Source organism: Homo sapiens, chromosome 7 (genome assembly GCF_000001405.40).
Source record: "Homo sapiens chromosome 7, GRCh38.p14 Primary Assembly".
Classification (NCBI taxonomy): domain Eukaryota; kingdom Metazoa; phylum Chordata; class Mammalia; order Primates; family Hominidae; genus Homo; species Homo sapiens.
In genome coordinates this window covers 92,677,737-92,696,921 of record NC_000007.14, presented here as the reverse complement: position 1 = coordinate 92,696,921, position 19,185 = coordinate 92,677,737, and the positions used below count along the sequence as shown (strand labels likewise).

At 38.3% G+C, this 19,185-nt stretch overlaps 1 protein-coding gene across 3 annotated transcripts in view, besides 1 other annotated feature; it reads left to right on the top strand.

Moving 5' to 3' along the window:
• Positions 1–19,185, top strand: part of CDK6 (cyclin dependent kinase 6) — a 231,653-nt gene that overhangs the window by 139,652 nt on the left and 72,816 nt on the right. The gene's annotated exons all lie outside the window — the stretch shown is intronic.
• Positions 323–1,522: an enhancer, noted in NCBI's record as "BRD4-independent group 4 enhancer chr7:92324714-92325913 (GRCh37/hg19 assembly coordinates)". NCBI's record gives its function as "activates an origin of replication core promoter dependent on BRD2, P300/CBP, MED14 and CDK7 cofactors, and independent of BRD4, by STARR-seq in HCT116 cells {active_cell/tissue: HCT116}" and the evidence as "EXISTENCE:reporter gene assay evidence [ECO:0000049][PMID:35650434]".

Below are 19,185 nucleotides of genomic sequence, written 5' to 3'. Positions count from 1 at the left end.
AAGACTTAATGACTTTTTTGCGAATCGGTTAAATTTTCTGGTGTATGTTGCTTTTCATTTTCTTCTCCAGAAATCTTAATCCTCTTGAAGACAGGAAATGTGTTAGGAGTTCATAGACTCTGAATATTAGAATTGCACAATTCATGACCCCAGGATTCCATATGCTGTCCATTCAATAAAGGGGTGACACTGTCCATGATGATCAATGTTTAGATGACAAACATCTTTAAATCCACAAAATTTCTCATAGACCAAAGCGTTTGTTCTAGTCCCTGACATATCGAACCAGTTTTTTCAAAGTAAATCATTTGATCTGGTCCCTGACATATCAAACCAGTTTTTTCAAAGTAAATCTTGTGTCCTGAAAACATTTTGAGGCCTTAAATAATACCACTCTTGAATATCATCATTTGAGTAACTTAGTAAAGACTATTAAAAAAATACACATATATGGTAAGATTTTGTAGGATCTTCTTAGCATTAAGAATAAAAGATTATTAATTCTTTCCCCGTGAAACAACAACATATAATAATAAGCTAAATGTGGTCAGCTTTGATTTCATAACGGGAAAACTCCCTTTTCATTTTTACAATTGGTGTTTTCTCTTCAGCTGCTTTTTAAGTTGGCCTGTTAGCAATTTAGCCTGTCTTTAATTTTAAGCACCATTCTTCTAGTCAGGAGATCCCAATAGGAAGCCCACTCTTGTAGCCTCGCCTCTCATTGGCTAGCTGGGAAAAGAGCATTTCTGCATAAATTGGATGCTTCCTTCTCCCCTGGAGACCAAATATGCTCATGTTTCACAATCCCCTGGTTTATAACCTTGAGTCCATTGCCTAAAGCTGGAAACTTTCACTTTGTACAACAGAGCACACTCCGAAACCCAGATCCAATACCGCTGACATGTCCGTGGGTCTGACAGCAGATTGAATACATGCTTCTTTCTTAATCCAGTGTTTCTGAGCTGCTCCAACTGAAATCAGAAACCGATGTGCGTGAGAGAGGTGTCCTTCAAAGAAAGGTATTTCCTTTGTGCAGCTCCAGTGCACACAGAATCCAAGGGGTTAACGTGAGAGCTGCTTTGAAAACAGAGGCGAAGGTCACTGGCGGCAACAGCAAAGACTTTTAAAGCCTGCCGTCCTGAGCCTTTCAGCCTGCCTTCCCCACCCAGGGGATTGTAAACATTGGCTCCCAGCCACCTCGTCCCAAAGCACAAAACTTCTCTGTGCTTTCAGCATATACATTTATGCTTTTTTATGGAAGTTGAAGCAGAGGCGCATTATTGCTGTGAGCCCAGAGAACATGTCTCTGTTCAATGAAAGGGGAGGAATCCTGTCCTGCCAGAATGTGAAAGCATGCAGATACGCTTATTTAGCGGGGCTTCACATGGAACTTAGCCGCTGCTCTTAGTCTGACTTTCTCAAGTCAAAAGAATGTGTAGAATGCTGTCACTTAATCAGAACCCAGAAGAGCTCTTTTATCTGCCATTTGTTTGTAACTTGCAATATTGTCCTTATCTCTTTGTCCTTTAGCTTGATCCAGTGCCCTCAGATATGAGAACTGGAAACATGAAAGCACTTATTACCTTGAGCATTGCTTCTTGATTTTTGTTGGTTTTTTTCTTTCTTTCTTTCTTTCTTTTTTTTTTTTTTACCTCAGGGTCCCTTAATCACCAACAAAGAAGCTATGAGACTTTTTCCCCCTAATTTCTGCCTTAGTCCTAGGATCATATTTGTTTGGTAATATTTAAAAGAAACCAAGATGATTTGTATATTTACACTGCCATTTATACCTGGTTCTTTAAAAGTCTATTATTGACATAACTTTGTATCATTATAACTTTCACTGATCATTTGCATGAAACAGAATGGAATTTCCAGAGATATCATGTGTAGCTTAAATTTCTCCCTCCCAAACTTTTTAATATGTCGTAGGAGGTTAATATCCTTCTGTCTATAAGTAATTTCAGTCATTTGAGATCATCTTTTTCTCTTTGGTAATTTCTAAAGACACGAACCAGAGATATATTTCAATAGGTAGGAACAGAAAAATTATATCCCATGTCATTCCTTTTTGCTGTGGTCTTTTTATATATATATAATTTTCTATTTCAGAGACAGACATGTCTTCTGAAATGGCCACTCTGAGCATATTTTGTAATAAATTTGGATGCTTACCTAATGAAGCGCAATCACTACACATTTCTGTTTGAACAATGATGCTTGATTCTGAAAAGAACACGAGACAGACAACAGCCTCTCCCATGTTACATGACATGCAGACATGATTGTTCTCTAGCCTGTAGCTACATTGATAAGTGATATGTGGCTTTGCCTTTTGCCACTCAGGCTAAATAACTCTTAAAGGTTCTTCACAGGCTCTTCTGGAATTCCAATTTTGCTTTATGGAATCACAAATTATATTGAGTAATTATTAATGTTCTTTCAGTTTTCCTCTTGGTTAAAGTTTGATTTCTGTAAATGTCAAGTTTCTGTGAACAGCATCACTGACCTGGATGTATTGGTACACAGTGCAATGTTCAGATGGTGTCACTGAGCATGTAGAATTTATTTATTCTAATTATAGGATTCTGGAGTTGGAAAGACTTTAGAAATAATCAAATGTGACTTCTTGATTTTGTAGTTGAGAAACTAGGGCCTAACAATATAAAATTACTTTTTTGCAAAGTAATAAATATACAAAGGTTATTTATAACTAATATCCAGAGGTATATCTGGATATAAATATTTATTTAAAACTAATATCCAGAGTATATCTGGAACAAAAACTCAGATTTCAAAATCTCAATCAAGGACTCTTTCCCTTAGTCCATCTAGTCACATACCCCCTATACTGTGTGGTGTTCACAGATGACTAAAGATGAGACTAATAAATGGCCGATATTTAGATCATCTTCAGCAAGTAGATGACCACATAAATGATTATGAACAGACGTTTTGTACACTGAGCATGAGGCAACATGGGGTCTTGGTCTTTACTTATTCCCAAGGGTACCTGGTAACTGACATTTCAACCATTCAGCTTATCAACTTGCCATACTCCAATTTCACTATAAACTTCTCACAATCTGTAAAATCCCCCTTTTCTCTTGCCTATTTAATGTGTAACAGTGACTTCACATGACAACAGTGAACTCTACATCAAAGCTGACAATATGACCAAAGCTATTCACAGAGGCTAATTCATAGCACTAACTGCTTTTATGACTGGAAAAGAAAGATTGACTGTAAATGTAAAAGCCTTCAATCCAAGTAGCACAAAAGAAAAAGAATTCTTTTCAACAAGCATCGATTGTATTTACATATTACTCATTATGAAAAATTAAAACATGTTAAAGTATATAATGATGAATTAATTAGAATATACCTGTATAAACTAGGATGCAGGAAAAGTTTAAAGCATAAATGAATAAATTAGAAAACAGATAATAAAATGGAAAAATAAACCTACCAGTTGGTCCTGAGAGTCACCTTCTAGATCACGCCAGCCCACTTTGCTACTAGGTAATAGAGCTTTTGAAAGAACTTGTGGCATATGAGACAGGATCACATAGGGCTGGGAGGGAGTGCTGATCAGGGTTTCTCTGTGAACTCAGCCCATATCCAGTTATTCTCAAGCCTAGGCACCCCCATTTCTTTCTCTACTTGTATCTCTTTCTCTTAACCCAGGTAAGAAAAACAAATACCTCCTATTTATACATGTTATAGGTTCACAGGTAAACAAAAGACAGGGAAAATAGTAACCTGCAAAAAAGAGAGTTTGGGCCTGTGCAAAACAGACATTCCTATTAATAATTTTCCACTATGCAGATTATGTTTATAGTTTGTTTGGTAGGTGAACCAAATATGGTAAAAATACCAACTGAGAAGGGTACAAGAAGTACCCCGTGAAGAGCAAAGATGAAAAAATATTGTGGATGTACCAGAGATGAAAGTGAGTAAAAATACTTGGTTTTCATTCAGAAAATTTTTCTCTCTCAATTTTTTCTTCTACACGAGGAAAATCAAAGAAAGGCTTAGTCCTGTGTAGTTCTGTTAAAAAATGAATTTATTGTAATATTCACAAGGAATTTGTGTTCCTAAGGTAGTTGTTTTTGTTTTTTGTTTTTTATTTTTGAGACACAGTCTTACTCCATAATTCAGGCTGGAGTGCAGTGGCATGATGATCACGGCTCACTACAGCCTCGACTTCACAGGCTCAGGTGATTTTCCCACCTCAGCCTCCAGAGTAGCCGGGACCACGGGCACGCACCACCACACCCAGCTAATTTTTTGTATTTTTAGTAGAGGCAGGGTTTTGCCATGTTGCCCAGGCTGGTCTCGAACTCCTGGGCTCAAGCAGTCTGCCCACCTCGGCCTCCCAAAGTGCTGGATTACAGGCATGAGCCGCTGTGCCCAGCCCAAGATAATTTTCATACTCTTCATAGGTAGCAGTTTCATAGCCTTAGAAATTCAGGCAGCAAGGTACTGTGATTGGTGTATATGGACTTATCTTTGGAGTAAAACAGGCACTCATCAGATAGTAGCTCTTGCTAATTAGCACATGGACTATTGAAATTCCTTCCTGTTAATGCCAATCAGTCAGATTTTGCTACAGAACACATTTTACAGAACTTTCTTTCTTTCTTTCTTTCTTTTTTGAGACGGAGTTTCACTCTTGTTCAGGCTGGAGTGCAATGGTGTGATCTCGACTCACCACAACCTCTGCCTCCTGGGTTCAAGCAATTCTCCTGCCTCAGCCTCCCAAATAACTGGGATTACAGGCATGTGCCACCATGCCTGGCTAATTTTGTATTTTAATAGAGATGGAGTTTCCCCATGTTGGTCAGGCTGGTTTTGAACTCCTGACTTCAGATGATCCGCCCACCTCGGCCTCCCAAAGTGCTGGGATTACCAGCGTGAGCCACCGCGCCCAGCCTACAGGGCTTTCATATGGGAAAGTTAATACTTTTCAGTCCTGTGGGTCTCTTTAAAGCAATAAGATGGCATCCTTCAGTTTACTCAGTGGTTGCTCTTGCTTTTACGCTTACATTTAATGAGTTTTAAAAGTACAGTTAAAGTACTTCCCTGTATTTGACATCTGTGTCTCAGTACTCAAATTTTCTTTTTTATCAAAGGCATTCTTTACATCTGAAGTCTTACATTTCTCCATATATACTTCAGTCTTTTCTTTGAAGAGGTTTACTCCCTCTGCTGGCTCTAACTGTGAAATGAAAGCACGTGTAATCTATATAGTTCTGATTACCAATCTGAGGGATTGCTTGCATATGATGGTATTGCCTTAGACTTTTTTCTAAAATGTAAAATTAAACTTTTGTTTGGCTCCCTCTGATTCTGAATAATAAAATTGCCCAAAAATCTAAGAAATATTTTATATTCCTTTTGAGAACAATATGAAATTCTATGAAACTAACAGTGATTTGATAATTAAGAAATTCTGGCATGCACATTTACAATATGTAATAGGTGCTCAATAAATATTAGTTTCTTGATTGCAGTCATATTTTTATTGTACATAGACATTGTGTGTGTACTTCATTGTAGGAGCAATAAATCACCCATTCTGTTTAATGAAGTCATCTGTGTTTCTGTAGCACTTTCTCAATGCCTTATTATACTTCCAGCCACACAGTATTACAGTTATTTCTTTTTACATTTGCCTAGCTTGACTATGAACTCTTCCAGGACAGACATGATATGTTATTTGTCTTTATAGTCTCAGCTTCTGTCTTGGTAGGTTGATTGCCCAGTAATTATTGATGAACTTCAACATTATACTACAATAAATGTCTTCTCATTTGCTGTACAGACAGCCAGAAAGTATAAGTAATTAGAATTTGTTCTGCACTCTACTTTTATCGTGAAAAAGTAATTGAAAGTAAATAAGATATTTATTCAGAAAAGCCACTACCTGAATGTGAGCATATCTGAACTAATAAAAATAGTATAGTTAATACAGATATATAGCAAGATGTCCTCACCATCTACATCTGTAATAATATATAGTGGTAATTGACTCCCATAATGGTTATACCAAAGCCCTGAAGGATTCTTAACTTTTACTTTCATTTTTAATGCAAAACCAGGTTTTCATATATTTTGCTTGCTTAAAGCAAGATATACTAGCTCTTATTTTTCTTACTAAATTACATGCATACATATATTTCAAATTTTATTTTAGATTATTTGTGCTCAACCCCATACGTTGTCATAGAGTAGTGCTTTTCAACTCGTTTTCCAAGGATCACTAATTCTGTAGAATGTTAATAGATGTTATGTGAGGGGGAGAAAGTCATTCAGCTTTGTAAATGCTGAATTAAATATTTCTTTTTGAACAAAGCTGGAGGCATCATGCTACCCAACTTCAAACTATACTACAGGGCTACGGTAACCAAAACATCATGGCACTGGTACAAAAACAGACACATAGACCAATGGAACAGAATAGAGAGCCCAGAAATAAAACCGCACACCTACAACTGTCTGATTTTTAACAAACCTAACAAAAACAAACAATAAGGAAAGGATTCCCTATTCAATAAACAGTGCTGGGATAACTGGCTAGCCATATGCAGAAGATTGAAACTGGACCCCTTCCTTATATACAAAAATTATCTCAAGGTGAATTAAAGACTTAAATGTAAAACCCAAAACTATAAAAACCCACAAAGACAACCTAGGCAATACCTTTCAGGACATAGGCACAGGCAAAGATTTCATGACAAAGACTCCAAAAGCAATTGCAACAGAAGCAAAAATGGACAAACGGAAGTTAACTAAACTAAAGAGCTTCTGCACAGCAAAAGAAACTATCATGTTTCTTTTGAGTAAACAGCCTACAGAATGGGAGAAAATTTTTGCAAACTGTGCATCCAACAAAGGTCTAATATGGAGCATCTATAAGAAACATACAAATTTACAAGGAAAAAAAACGATAAAAAAGTGGGCAAATGACATGAACAGACACTTTTCAAAAGAAGACGTACATGCAGCCAACAATCACGAAAAAAAGCTCAACATCACTGATCATTAGAGAAATGCAAATCAAAACCACAAGAGATATTATCTCACACCATCAGATTGCTATTATTAAAAAGTCAAAAATAACAGATGCTGGTGAGGTTGTGGAGAAAAAGGAATGCTTATACATTGTTGGTGGGAGTGTAAATTAGTTCAGCCTTTGTAGAAGACAGTGTGGCAATTCCTCAAAGACCTAAAGACAGAAGTACCATTCAATCCAGCAATCCCATTGCTGGGTATATACCCAAAGGAATATAAATCATTCTATTATAAAGACACATGCACGTGCATGTTCATTGCAGCACTATTCACAATAGCAAAGAATCATTTTCTTTATCATTCATGTATTTCTTTATGGGTATTTGGAATCAACCCAAATGACCATCAGTGATAGACTGGATAAAGAAAATGTGGTACATATACACCATGGAATACTATGCAGCTATAAAATAAATGAGATCATGTCCTTTGCTGGGACATGGCTGGAGCTGGAGGCCATTACCCTTAGCAAACTAACACAGGAACAGAAAACCAAATACTGCATGTTCTCACTTACAAGTAGTAGCTAAACGATGAGAACATGTGGACACATAGAAGGGAACAACATACACTGGGGCCTATTGGAGGGTGGAGGGTGCGAAGAAGGAAAGGATCAGGAAAAATAATGGATATTAAGCTTAACACCTGAGTGATGAAATAATCAGTACAATGAACCCCTGTGACGCACGTTTACCTGTAAAGCCTATGAGCCTTGTAAGGGCAAGAACCATACCCTAGAATTCACTGGCACTGAGTGTTGGCCACCAAGTAGCACTCTGCAAATGTTTGTTGACTTAAAAAAAATAATTCCTACACTAATTCAGAGTTTCTAAACTACAAGGAAAAAATGGCAGCATGTGTACACTGATTATTGTCCTTCAGCCTCCCTCCGCCAAAATAGTTGCTGTGGTTCCCCATTTTTAAATTCTGTGCGTGGGTGAATGGGAAGACTCACAACAAATGGAAATGTGACTGCGTGACCTCTTTAGAGGGAATGTGGTTTGCCCCTTAACTAAGCTACAGGGCTATAAACTGACAAATATGGTTCTATGTTTAGTGTATAATGATGTTTCAGAATTATGTCCATAGAAGAAATCTAGTAAAAACTACTATCCAACAGCTTCTAAAATGTTTACATTATTAATGTTCAAACAAACATTTCAGAATACTAAGTTCAGTTCTTTTTCAATGCCTAAATTGTCTAAGAACTCTGTGTGTGTGTGTGTGTGTGTGTGTGTGTGTGTGTGTGTGTGTGTGTGTGTGATGTATATGTAGTCTATACACCTCAAGAGGAGGACAAACAGATGCTTAAAGAGTTGGGAGTTTGCTAAGTCCGACATAGAAGGGACAAAAGTCAGAAAAAAAGCCTAATATTTTACAGTTGTCTTGAACTACTGAGTCACACAGTAGTTTAAGACAATTTAAAATGTTAGTCACAAATGACAGACACTATTTATTCTGTCATTACCAAGAAAGTCCAGTTAGTGCTTTAATAAATCCAGATTATATTATCCTTTTAGAATACAAATTATTCAGTCAAAAGTATAGAAAGTACCACTACACACTAATTCGAATGGTTGGGAATATCAACTGTTGGCCAAGATGCGGAGAAACTGTAACTCTCATACATTTCTGGTGGGAGTGTAAAATGGTTCAACCACTTGGAAAACTGGTAGTATCTACTAAACGTTTGCCTACTCCCTGTATATACCCAAGAGAAATGCATGCCTGTATCCAACAAGAGACATGTACAAAAATGTTCAAAGCAGAATGTTTATTTTACTATATCCAAAAACTAGAAATAACCATCAACAGAAAAAATTGCTAAACAAACTCTGGCATAATGATGCAATGGAATACTACACAGCAATGAAAGGGAGAAAACTATATACTGATAACTACAACAGCATACACAGTTTTTACATATTATCTTGAGCAAAAGAAGCAAAACACATGATTCCTTTATATGAAATTCAAGGAGCAGCAACATTAATCTATGGTTATATAAATAGGGGTGCAGGAATGGTATTGCTAGGAAAAATACAAGAGGACCTTCTGTGGTGATGGTGATGTAAGTATTCTATATGTTGGTCTGAGTGGTGTTTATATAGGTGTGTACATGTGTAAAGATACATCGAACATGTTAAGATTTGTGTACACCTCAGTATAAATAGATAAATAAATGCCTTAGGCAATTATACATGTATATGAACCAATGCCAACAGAGGCCAAAATTATTCTTTACAAGAAATCTTTTTTAAGCTATTATGTATAAATTTTATTCTATTGCCGTAGTTGTTAATCTAGAACACTTTTCATACCTTCAGAATTACACAAACACATGGATTTTTTCCTCCTTGTTTTGATTTGCTGCTTTGGACAGAGTTCATTTTTTGGAGTTTGGGGGCAAATTTGGAAGAACTTCTTTATCAGAAAAGATACTTTTCTTGGTCATACATTTAACAAATAGTCATTGAATGCTTGCCGTGTGTCAGATATTGCACTAAGCATTGGGGATCCAAAGATTAGCTAGTAAACCCCAGTCCCTGCCACTGTAGCATTCAATTTTATGGGGGTAACAGAGATGGAAGCAGATTCTTCTGGTCACACCAGATGTCAGCAAGGGCTGTAAGAGAGGTGTACTGCAGGAGTGTGGAGTAGGAATCTGCTTCGTCTCTCAGAATATTCTGGAAGACTTTCACAGAGGGTATCACGAGGCCCTGCTTCTATTTTTGCCATATGTCAGAGTTCTCTTTTAAGTATCTACAATAGTGATTTAAAAGTACTTTTCTTCACAATCTATACTTCCAACAAAGGACTAATATCCAGAATCTACAAGGAACTCAAACAAAATCAGCAAGAAAAAAACCACAAACATTCCTTTGAAAAAGTGGGCTAAGGACATGAATAGACAGTTCTCCAAAGAAGATATACAAATGGCCAACAAATATATGAAAAAATGTCCAACATCACTAATTATCAGGGAAATGCAAATCAAAACCACAATGCAATACTGCCTTACTCCTGCAAGAATGGCCATAATAAAAAAAAAAATGGATGTTGGCACAGGTGTGGTGAAAAGGGAACACTTTTACACTGTTGGTGGGAATGTAAACTAGTACATCACTATAGAAAACAGTGTGGAGATTCCTTAAAGAACTAAAAGTAGAGCTATCATTGGATCTAGCAATCCCATTCCTGGGTATCTACCCAAAGGAAAATAAGTTGTACGAAAAAAATACTTGCACATGCATGTTATAGCAGCACAGTTCACAATTGCAAAAATATGGAACCAGCCCAGATGCCCATCAGTCAACAAGTGGATAAAGAAAATGTGGTATATATATATTTCATTATATATATAATGAAATACTACTCAGCCATAAAAAGAGCAAAATAATGGCATTTGCAGCAACCTGGATGGAATTGGAGACGATTATTCTAAGTGAAGTAACTCAGGAACGTTAAACCAAACATGGTATGTTCTCACTCATAAGCAATGAGGATGCAAAGGCATAAGAATGATACAGTGGACTTTGGGGATTCAGGGAAGGGGCGGGAGGAGGGTGAGAGATAAAAGACTACACATTGGGTACAGTGTACACTACTCAAGTGATGGGTGCACCAAAATCAGAAATCACCGCTAAAGAACTTACTCATGTACAAAAATAAATAAATACATAAATGAGAAAAAAGTACTTTCAGTTACTAAAAGATAGTTAAAATATGTAATACATGTTTTTCTTAGATATCACTGTGATCACTTCTGTGATTCCAACAAATTTAGTTTAAAGATCTCAGTTGGCTTTATTGCAATTCTAGAAATGGGCAACACCACATTCTGTAAAATAGAGTAAGTGTTCCAGTTAGTCAAACAAAGGAGAGTGGCTTTATAGACAGAAAAGGGGCAGAAGAAAGCAGAAACAAAAGAACGGAAAGCAGCTTGGTCATTTCAAAGTTACGTCCATGTAAGGGACAGGGAGACAGAACAATAGATAACTGCTTAACATCAGGTTACTTCAAGTTACTCTATTGTAAAGATTAAAACAGAGGGAACTTCATTGTCATGCTGATTTAAGATAGAAACTGGCCTGTTTGGGAAATTAGGCTGTCTTTCTCTTTTGACTTCTCTGTCTCTCCTGATTTACCCAGTTTTGGTTTGGTGAGCATAAGTGACTCCATTTTAACTTTTAGTCCAGTCTGTTGGGGCCTAGTGCAGGAGTTTAGTGCAAAATAATGGTATGCTATAATTTTTGTGGAATATTTCTTAGGCCATTTTGAAAGCCCTAACAGTTTCCAGGATAAAAGAAGCTACCTGCCACAGGTTTCTAGAAAGCAGTAACATTCTTTGAAATGTTTATAAATGGAAATATAGCGTTTCTTTGAATTAGTTCTGAGTTAGAAGCCAAGTTTTACTCAAACTCAGAGGGTTACTTTTCCTTTCAAGTAGTGTTTGCATGCAGCAACCACACTGCCCCCAACACGCATGCAGCATGAGTCCCTGAGTCTAGGTGAGAAGCCTTCCGCTGGTTTTTATGTTCACACATGTATCTCTCCTGACAGCGGATATACCTAGAAATACTCTGTAAGTCCTTGGTATTAGTGTGGTTCTTCCTAGAAACTGAGACAATTTTAAGAAAAGCATTGTGGCTCATTAAGAGCAAATGAATGTATATATTCTGTAATTATTTAATCAACAGAACTATATTCCCTTTCAATGATCCTTTCTTTCATCTCTGCTCATAGAAGAGATATGAAATGAATTTTAGATTTTGAGGACATTTAAAATTCAGTAAGTACAGCAAAACTGTGTTATAAAAGAAAGAGGAAATTAAATAAAGGGCTAGGACACATATTACATATTAGACCTTTTTTTTTAGCAACTTTGAAATCAGATGGTAAAATCTAGATAATGTCGTCGAGTCCATACAATTGCACTGTGTTCAAAACCAAAGAATTCTTATGTCAAGTAATATGATTTTTTTTAATGTTGCTTAGTGACTGTGTTAGAAAATGGTGGGTCATAGTATTTAGGTTCCCTAAATTGTGTATTTTCCTTCTCTCCTATTTCCACAGCTCTAGTCTTCTGTGCATTTTGTTTTTTTGTAAACAAGAAGGCACCCTTTTTACACTACATCTGCATAAATGGGTGAGGGGTGATTTTGAGGAAGAGCCTGACATGGGCAGCTGGTGAGATGGTGGTCTCATTTGCAGAGATAGAATACAAAAGGAGAAAATGTTAGGGAGGAAGGGTGATGCCTGGTCTTCAGGGAAGGGATCTAGGGAACAGCATAGACATGCCTGTGCACACAGTGCCCGACTTCTGGCTCCTGTGCAGAACATTGTGGGTAGGCAAACCTTCCCTACCCTCCATCCAGGACCCAGTCATTTGCACATCCATGACCCTGATCCCTCAACTGGCAGCTATCTTGGTGAAATCCCTTGGGGTCCCATTATCTTAGAAAAACAACTTCTTTTGTTTTTGTCAGCTTTTCTGGTAAACTGCATTACTATGGAAATGTTGACTATTCTGGAAATACAAACTTTTTTATTGTAATTAGGCTTAAGACCAAAAAAGAAAAGACCTGAGGTCATTTAGACTCCACAGTGAGGAGAATGAACCTGAGTTCAATAAGACCTGCTTCAGATCCTGGTTCTGCCATTGGCTCTTCTGTGATTCTCAGCTTCCTTATCTGTAAAAATAGAGTCGTTGATACTCGCCTCACACCATTAAACTGAAGATTATATAAGACAACAGATAAAGTTAATTCAGCGCAGTACATTACATCTTCTGTGCTTTACAAATGTTTCCTTTCTCTCCTTCCGTAGCCCCCTACTTATTTACACTCAAAATAAAAATGAAAAGTTTTAGAGAAGAGAAAACATTACAAGGCCCCACAGTAATCCATTCTGGTATTTAACAGTTCTTATTGTCAGAAAATACTTCCTTCTGTCTAACACAAATTCCTAATGCTGCAATCTAAGTCCTTCTCTCAGATGTGTCCTCCTTTTCTGTTTGCAGTTTTAATCTTGCTAAATGAACAGCATGAAACACCCTAATCTTCAGAAGCATATTTTCTTTATGTCTTTCCTTTAATAGCTTAAAGCACAAAATATAGTGGGGACCCCCCCCCCACCACAGTCCTCTGTAGACTATAAATTCATTTCTGGTAGCCTGGATTACTGGGAAATGTTGTGGCTGGTTTTATTTTCCTGCATGCATCTCGATGACCCATTTCAGATGGGAGTGTTTGAGGAGGAGAGCGTACTGCAGAATGAGCTGAATGAGCTATACCTTCATGACTGCTTCCACCTGACAATCTGCAAATCCTCCCCATTTAAGGAAGGCAGTGCTCATGGAATTTTAAAATGTTGAAGAATGTGTGTGCCTGAACTTGGATTTTAAAACTATGCTTCCATTTCCCTCATCACTTGCACTAACCATATAACCTGCTAGTACTCATTTAGTAGGTTTGCTTGCAACCTGTGTCAAAAGGAGCATAGTAACCAATGAGAAAGAAGGCACGGACCTTAGAGGCATTTGACTGTTTCCATAGCAAGGAAAAACCCAATTTTTAAATTCTTTTACAAATCTGAGTAATAATGTGGCCTCTCAAAGCAAATAGATTTCCTTAAGAGTTAAAACAACTTCTAAGAGGAAACAATGAGCCCTGCAGCCTGCCATATCCTGTGTTCAGAATAATTTTCATTTCTACTTATCTGTGAAGGTTGAAGGAATGTCTGCAAATATTTGCTTGGTTTCTATGGTGAAAGCAGAGGGAGATCAAATGTATGATTGTTTAGTGTCAAAATCAAAACTATACTATACTGTACTTCTACAAAGAGAATGAGTTTGTTACTTTAAACATAATAGACGTTTAATAAGTGGTAACTATTTTAAGTTTCACGAGTTCAAGAGGAAATTTAAACAGTGCAGCCTGAAGGAAAACATAGGCCCTTCAGGCATTTTAAAACTTCATTTTACAAAAATAAAATGGTCCTTGCACTTTATTAAAAAGTCATCTGTTGACTAAAGATCATGTTGGTGGACTCTCAGAATGCCTGGTGTGGACATGGGGACACAACTATGGCCTATAAAATTTATACTATAATAGAAACACTCTGTCCTGCCCTGTGTTATCCCTCCTTATCCTGTAACTCTCCATTCTGCTGTCTTCTGGCTACCCATACATTTGTTGGAACATATGTTTATTTTATGCTTGCTTTATACAACACTCTGCGAGGGACTGGGATTAAAAGTCCACTTAGAAATACTCTCTACCCTCAAAGGGCTGGCTTTGGGCCTAGTAGACCGTAAGGATACAATGATTGAGATGCAATGTAAGTGCTGCAATCATTTATGCTTGCGGAGGACTAGGCAGGGCAAGGTTCACAGGAATTAAGAATGGGGTTGTGAAGAGGGCATTCCAGAGAAGGGCCTATGGGAAGACCACATGAGGCACGACATAGCACACATGTTTAAAGAACCTCACGGTCTCTGACAAGTTAAAGAAAGCCTTCATCTGAAGGGGGAACAGACAATGAAGGCAGAGAGTGGGTGGGAACCAGATTATGAGAGCATTGGAGGTAAATTAGAGTTGAGCTTGACCCTGAAATCTCCAGAGAATGGATGAAGGATTTTAAGCAGGAGAGTGGTGAGCACAGCTTCAGATGCAGTAAAGAAGACAGAGTGGCAGGGGGCATGTTGGCAGGAAAAGACCACAGAGGAAGCTATTTGGACCATCCAGGAGAGGACATGCTCTCGATGGAATTGTCGGGATCTGATGGTGGCTTCATTGAAAGTCAAGAGAAGTAGGGAAACTGGGTAGGTAGCGATTTTGCTTACAGAGAGAAGAAATATAGGAAAAGCAAGTTTCAGAGGAATGACAATGCATGCATTTTGAATTTGAGATACTGGTAGCAGCACTAAGTAGTGATGTCCGGGAGACAGTTGGATTTGTGGGTCAGAGACTGCAGAGTTCTGAATACAGCATGGATTGGAGCGGGGGTGGGGACAGGCACATGGAGTGCTCCACAAGGATTGTGCTTCATGTAAGAAAAGTGACTGCCTGAGGATGTCGCCTTAGATTAAGCAATAATTTAAAAGAGACAAAGGCAGGAGGAACACTAGGACAGGACCGTAGCATTCTGCACTTAAATTGCTACACAGACACCACCCCTCCCTCCAACCCAGTTGTACTTCAGCCAACTCATTTAACTCATTGCTTTCCTAATTTGCGACCACACTGTCCAGGACTAACATGGTACCTCACAGAGTAGACATTCACATGATGAATTGACTGGAAGCTTACTTTGACCTAAAGGCTTGCTGTCTAGGCCTTTTGTAGGTAGATCTGCTTAGACATAGATAAAATGGGGGAGAGGTGTACGACTCAGTAAGAAATGGCAAGTGCCACTGATATCACAAAAGGTCAGAAACCTGGATCCCTGAATTCTACCTTTGCTGGTCCTTCAGTGAGTCATTTTCATCCCTCCCCTGACACGAGTACACAGCCCCCCTGTTTACTGAGTGGCTCTCTTCCCCCAAGATGCCTTTCCTCTCTACTTGGAGGGAACACCCATTCAGCTCATTTTCCCTGTGCCTTTCATTGCCCTGTGAGTCTTCTTACACAATCTCTGAAGCTAATCAGGTAGTGCTCTTCCCTCCACAGGATCATTTCCTCTGTTAAAGATACATGATTACTCAAAGATATTAAGTTATTATGGGACAGTATTGTCCTCATATTCTCCAGTCTAGGTGATTGCCTCTATCCATCTTCAGCACTGCCACTGGGAGTTTCCTGTGGTTATTGATGTATCTAGCTATCAGATAATTACTGAGCACCTTCCATGCATGACACTGTAAATGTATTGTGGCCAAGAAATGGAAAAGCTATAATGCAAGATAGAAAGGGTCAAGTACTATAGAAGTGCAGTGGAAGCTCAGAGAAGAGCCATTACTTCCAGCTGGGAGATCAGGAAAGGCTTTGTGGATGAAGCAATATGTGAGTGAGGCTTGAAAGATGGGTAGGATCTGGACCTGCAGAGACTCAGAGAAAGAGAATCCCAGAGAGAGAATCAGAGAACCACACCAGCAATAGCAGGTGATGGGACATCCACATATCTAAAGGGAGCCAGTGGCCCCATGTGAGCCAAGGCAGCTGTAGATGTGAGGAAATACAGCCCTTCTGCTGGTAATGGATGCATCAGAGCAGAGGTGAGGACAAAGTTATTGGCACAGCGCTCCCTGCTGTGAGACTCTCATCTTTGTATTGACCTCAGACATTTTTTTGCCATATGTCAAAACATCTCCTTCTAGCCCTTAGATTACAAATGGGTGAATTTGAGATGACTCCATTATTATTTTATGGGTATTTAATGCTTTTTTTTTTTTTTTTTTTTTTTTTTTCTGAGATGGAATTTCACTCTTGTTGGCCCAGGCTGGAGCGCAATGGTGTGATCTCGGCTCACCGCAACCTCCACCTCCTGAGTTCCAGCGATTCTCCTGCCTCAGCCTCCTGAATAGCTGGGATTACAGGCATGCACCACCATGCCCGACTAATTTTGTATTTTTAGTAGAGACGGGGTTTCACCATGTTGGTCAGGCTGGTCTCGAACTCCCAACCTCAGGTCATCCGCCCTCCTCAGCCTCCCAAAGTGCTGGGATTACAGGTGTGAGCCACCACACCTGGCCAGTATTTAATTCTTAATAGTTTCCATAACCAGTTAAGGTGTTATAATGAGAAGACTGTGCTTGGCAGAATTAGAATTCCAATTCTTTATAATATTCTTCATTTAAATATGTAATTTTGAAGAACTAAATTATGGCCGGGCACGATGGCTCACACCTGTAATCCCAGCACTTTAGGAGGCCAAGGAGGGCGGATCACTTGAGGTCAGGAGTTCGAGACCAGTCTGGGCAACATGGCGAAACTCTGTCTCTAAAAATACAAAAAATTAGCCGGGCATGGTGGTGCACGCCTGTAATCCCAACTACTGGGGAAGCTGAGGCAGGAGAATCACTTGAACCCGGGAGACCGAGGTTGCAGTGAGCCGAGATCACACCACTGCACTCCAGCTTGGGCTATAGAGTGACACTCTGTCTCGAAAAAAAAAAGAAGTAAATTTTGCACCTCTGTGAAAAGTCAGTGAAATTATCACTAGTTTTGATTTTCACTTCACACAACCATACTAGTTTTCTATAGGGAGAAAAACATATGTATTAGAAAGTTTTATATTGCTCTGATGCAAATAAACAGATTAGAGCACAGTTTAGAAAACCTTCACTTTGACAAAATAAAGATTCTGAAGTATTTCAAAGATTATATTTATATTCCTGATAAACCATTATCTATGTTTGTATTTGAGACATGTTGTTGAAGTGGGCCCGAGAAGGAGAATATCACCACACTGGAACACTCCATAAGTAATTACTAAACCAAAGGACAGCAAAGATATTTAACGATAACGTTGTTGGGTCCATAAAGTATATATGTTTTTTTAAATCTTCATTGCCATTGCCATATCATTTAGGGAGTCTTAAAATGTTAACAGAGGACACCTTATAGATTACCCAGTCCAAACATCTTCTTTAACAGATGAGAAAACTGAAACTTGGAGAAGAAGTTGCCACCCACGCTGGTTTCTCCATCTATAAACAGGATGTATCAGCCAGGGTCCCAACAGGAAATAGATGGCACACTCAAACTCAAGTAGTTCAAGGATTTCTTGACACAGGCATGATTTGCAGAGATGTGGGCTTAGGGGAACTCAGGGGATGGTGCTATGACCTGAGTCTTACTCGCAGTCAGTTCATTACCATTCCCAGGCCCTAGAAGAAGAGGGGAAGCAGTTACTGGAATCCAGGAGGAAGAAAGCAAGTAGAGCAGGCTTCCTGAGATGGACATTGACTTTGTGGTGGCAACACAGTCAGTTCTAGACAGCTTTGCTGGGAGGAAAATCAAAGAGTTGAGGATCCTGACCTCATGCTTCTCCTTCTCTCTGAATTCCTGCCGAGACTTCCCATTGGCCAAAGCCAGTAAGAAACTGGAGGCATATGGCAGATACAGGTCCATTTCTAGGGCAGAGACTATCTGGGGCAACAAAAAGAAGACATCCAGCACAGTGTTCATACCATGCTTTTCTGCCATTGTGGCCATATAATGAGGATGAATCAGATAACATCTAATTTTTTCAAGACCTTGGTGAAAGGGTACATGATAAAAGATTGTTAAATATAACATCAAGTGAGAGCGGTTTACTCTGAAATGTATTTTAAGTCAGAGTTGGCCTTGGCTGTACTTTTTCTTATACTATTATTGAACAGGTTCAAAAAAATGTGAATAGAGATCAAAGCAGTTTAAACAGATACATCCACTTGTGTAAATATCCTTGAACTCCCCCCTGCCTTCCGCTCCCCCTCCTGTTGCCACATCCATTCAGCACCTCTAGAGGCTGTTAATACATGTAATGATTGTAATAAACATGGTATTTGCTTTGGTTCCAGCTGGCTCCAATCACCAAACTCTGTCCATAATTCCTATTGTCTTTGCTTACTAGACAACTGCATTGTTACCATTAGTAGCGACTTTTGTTACGGATTTCTAAATGTTGATCTTTATATATTGCACTCATTGTTTTCCTCAACATGTTTTAAAATTTAAATTTACCATTATATTTTCTTTTTAAGGATATTTAGAATTATTAAACAGAACTTCTGGTAGAATTGATTATATTGTTGAGAACTTTCACGAGCTAAAACCTTGAAACAATTTTATTGATATTATTCATTCTTTATAAAGCTTTCAAATAAAAATAAGCTTCTGCTCATGCATGACTTAAACTGGTTTTAAGTTCAGCAGTCTTCCATCAGAAGTTTTTAGAGGCACAGAAGTATAATAATGTCTAAGCAAAGGGAATTTATATTTTACTGTCAGGAAAATTTGTTGCAATTTGTTCTCAAAAACTTGGATCCAGATTTAGTTGCAGTAGATATTTTAAATCCTATGAAATTACAGAAGTTGTCATAATTTGAGATAATTAAAATTTCAGTGACTTAATGTAGGGACTGAAAGACTGTGGTTCAGAAATTATAGAACAGCCAAGTAA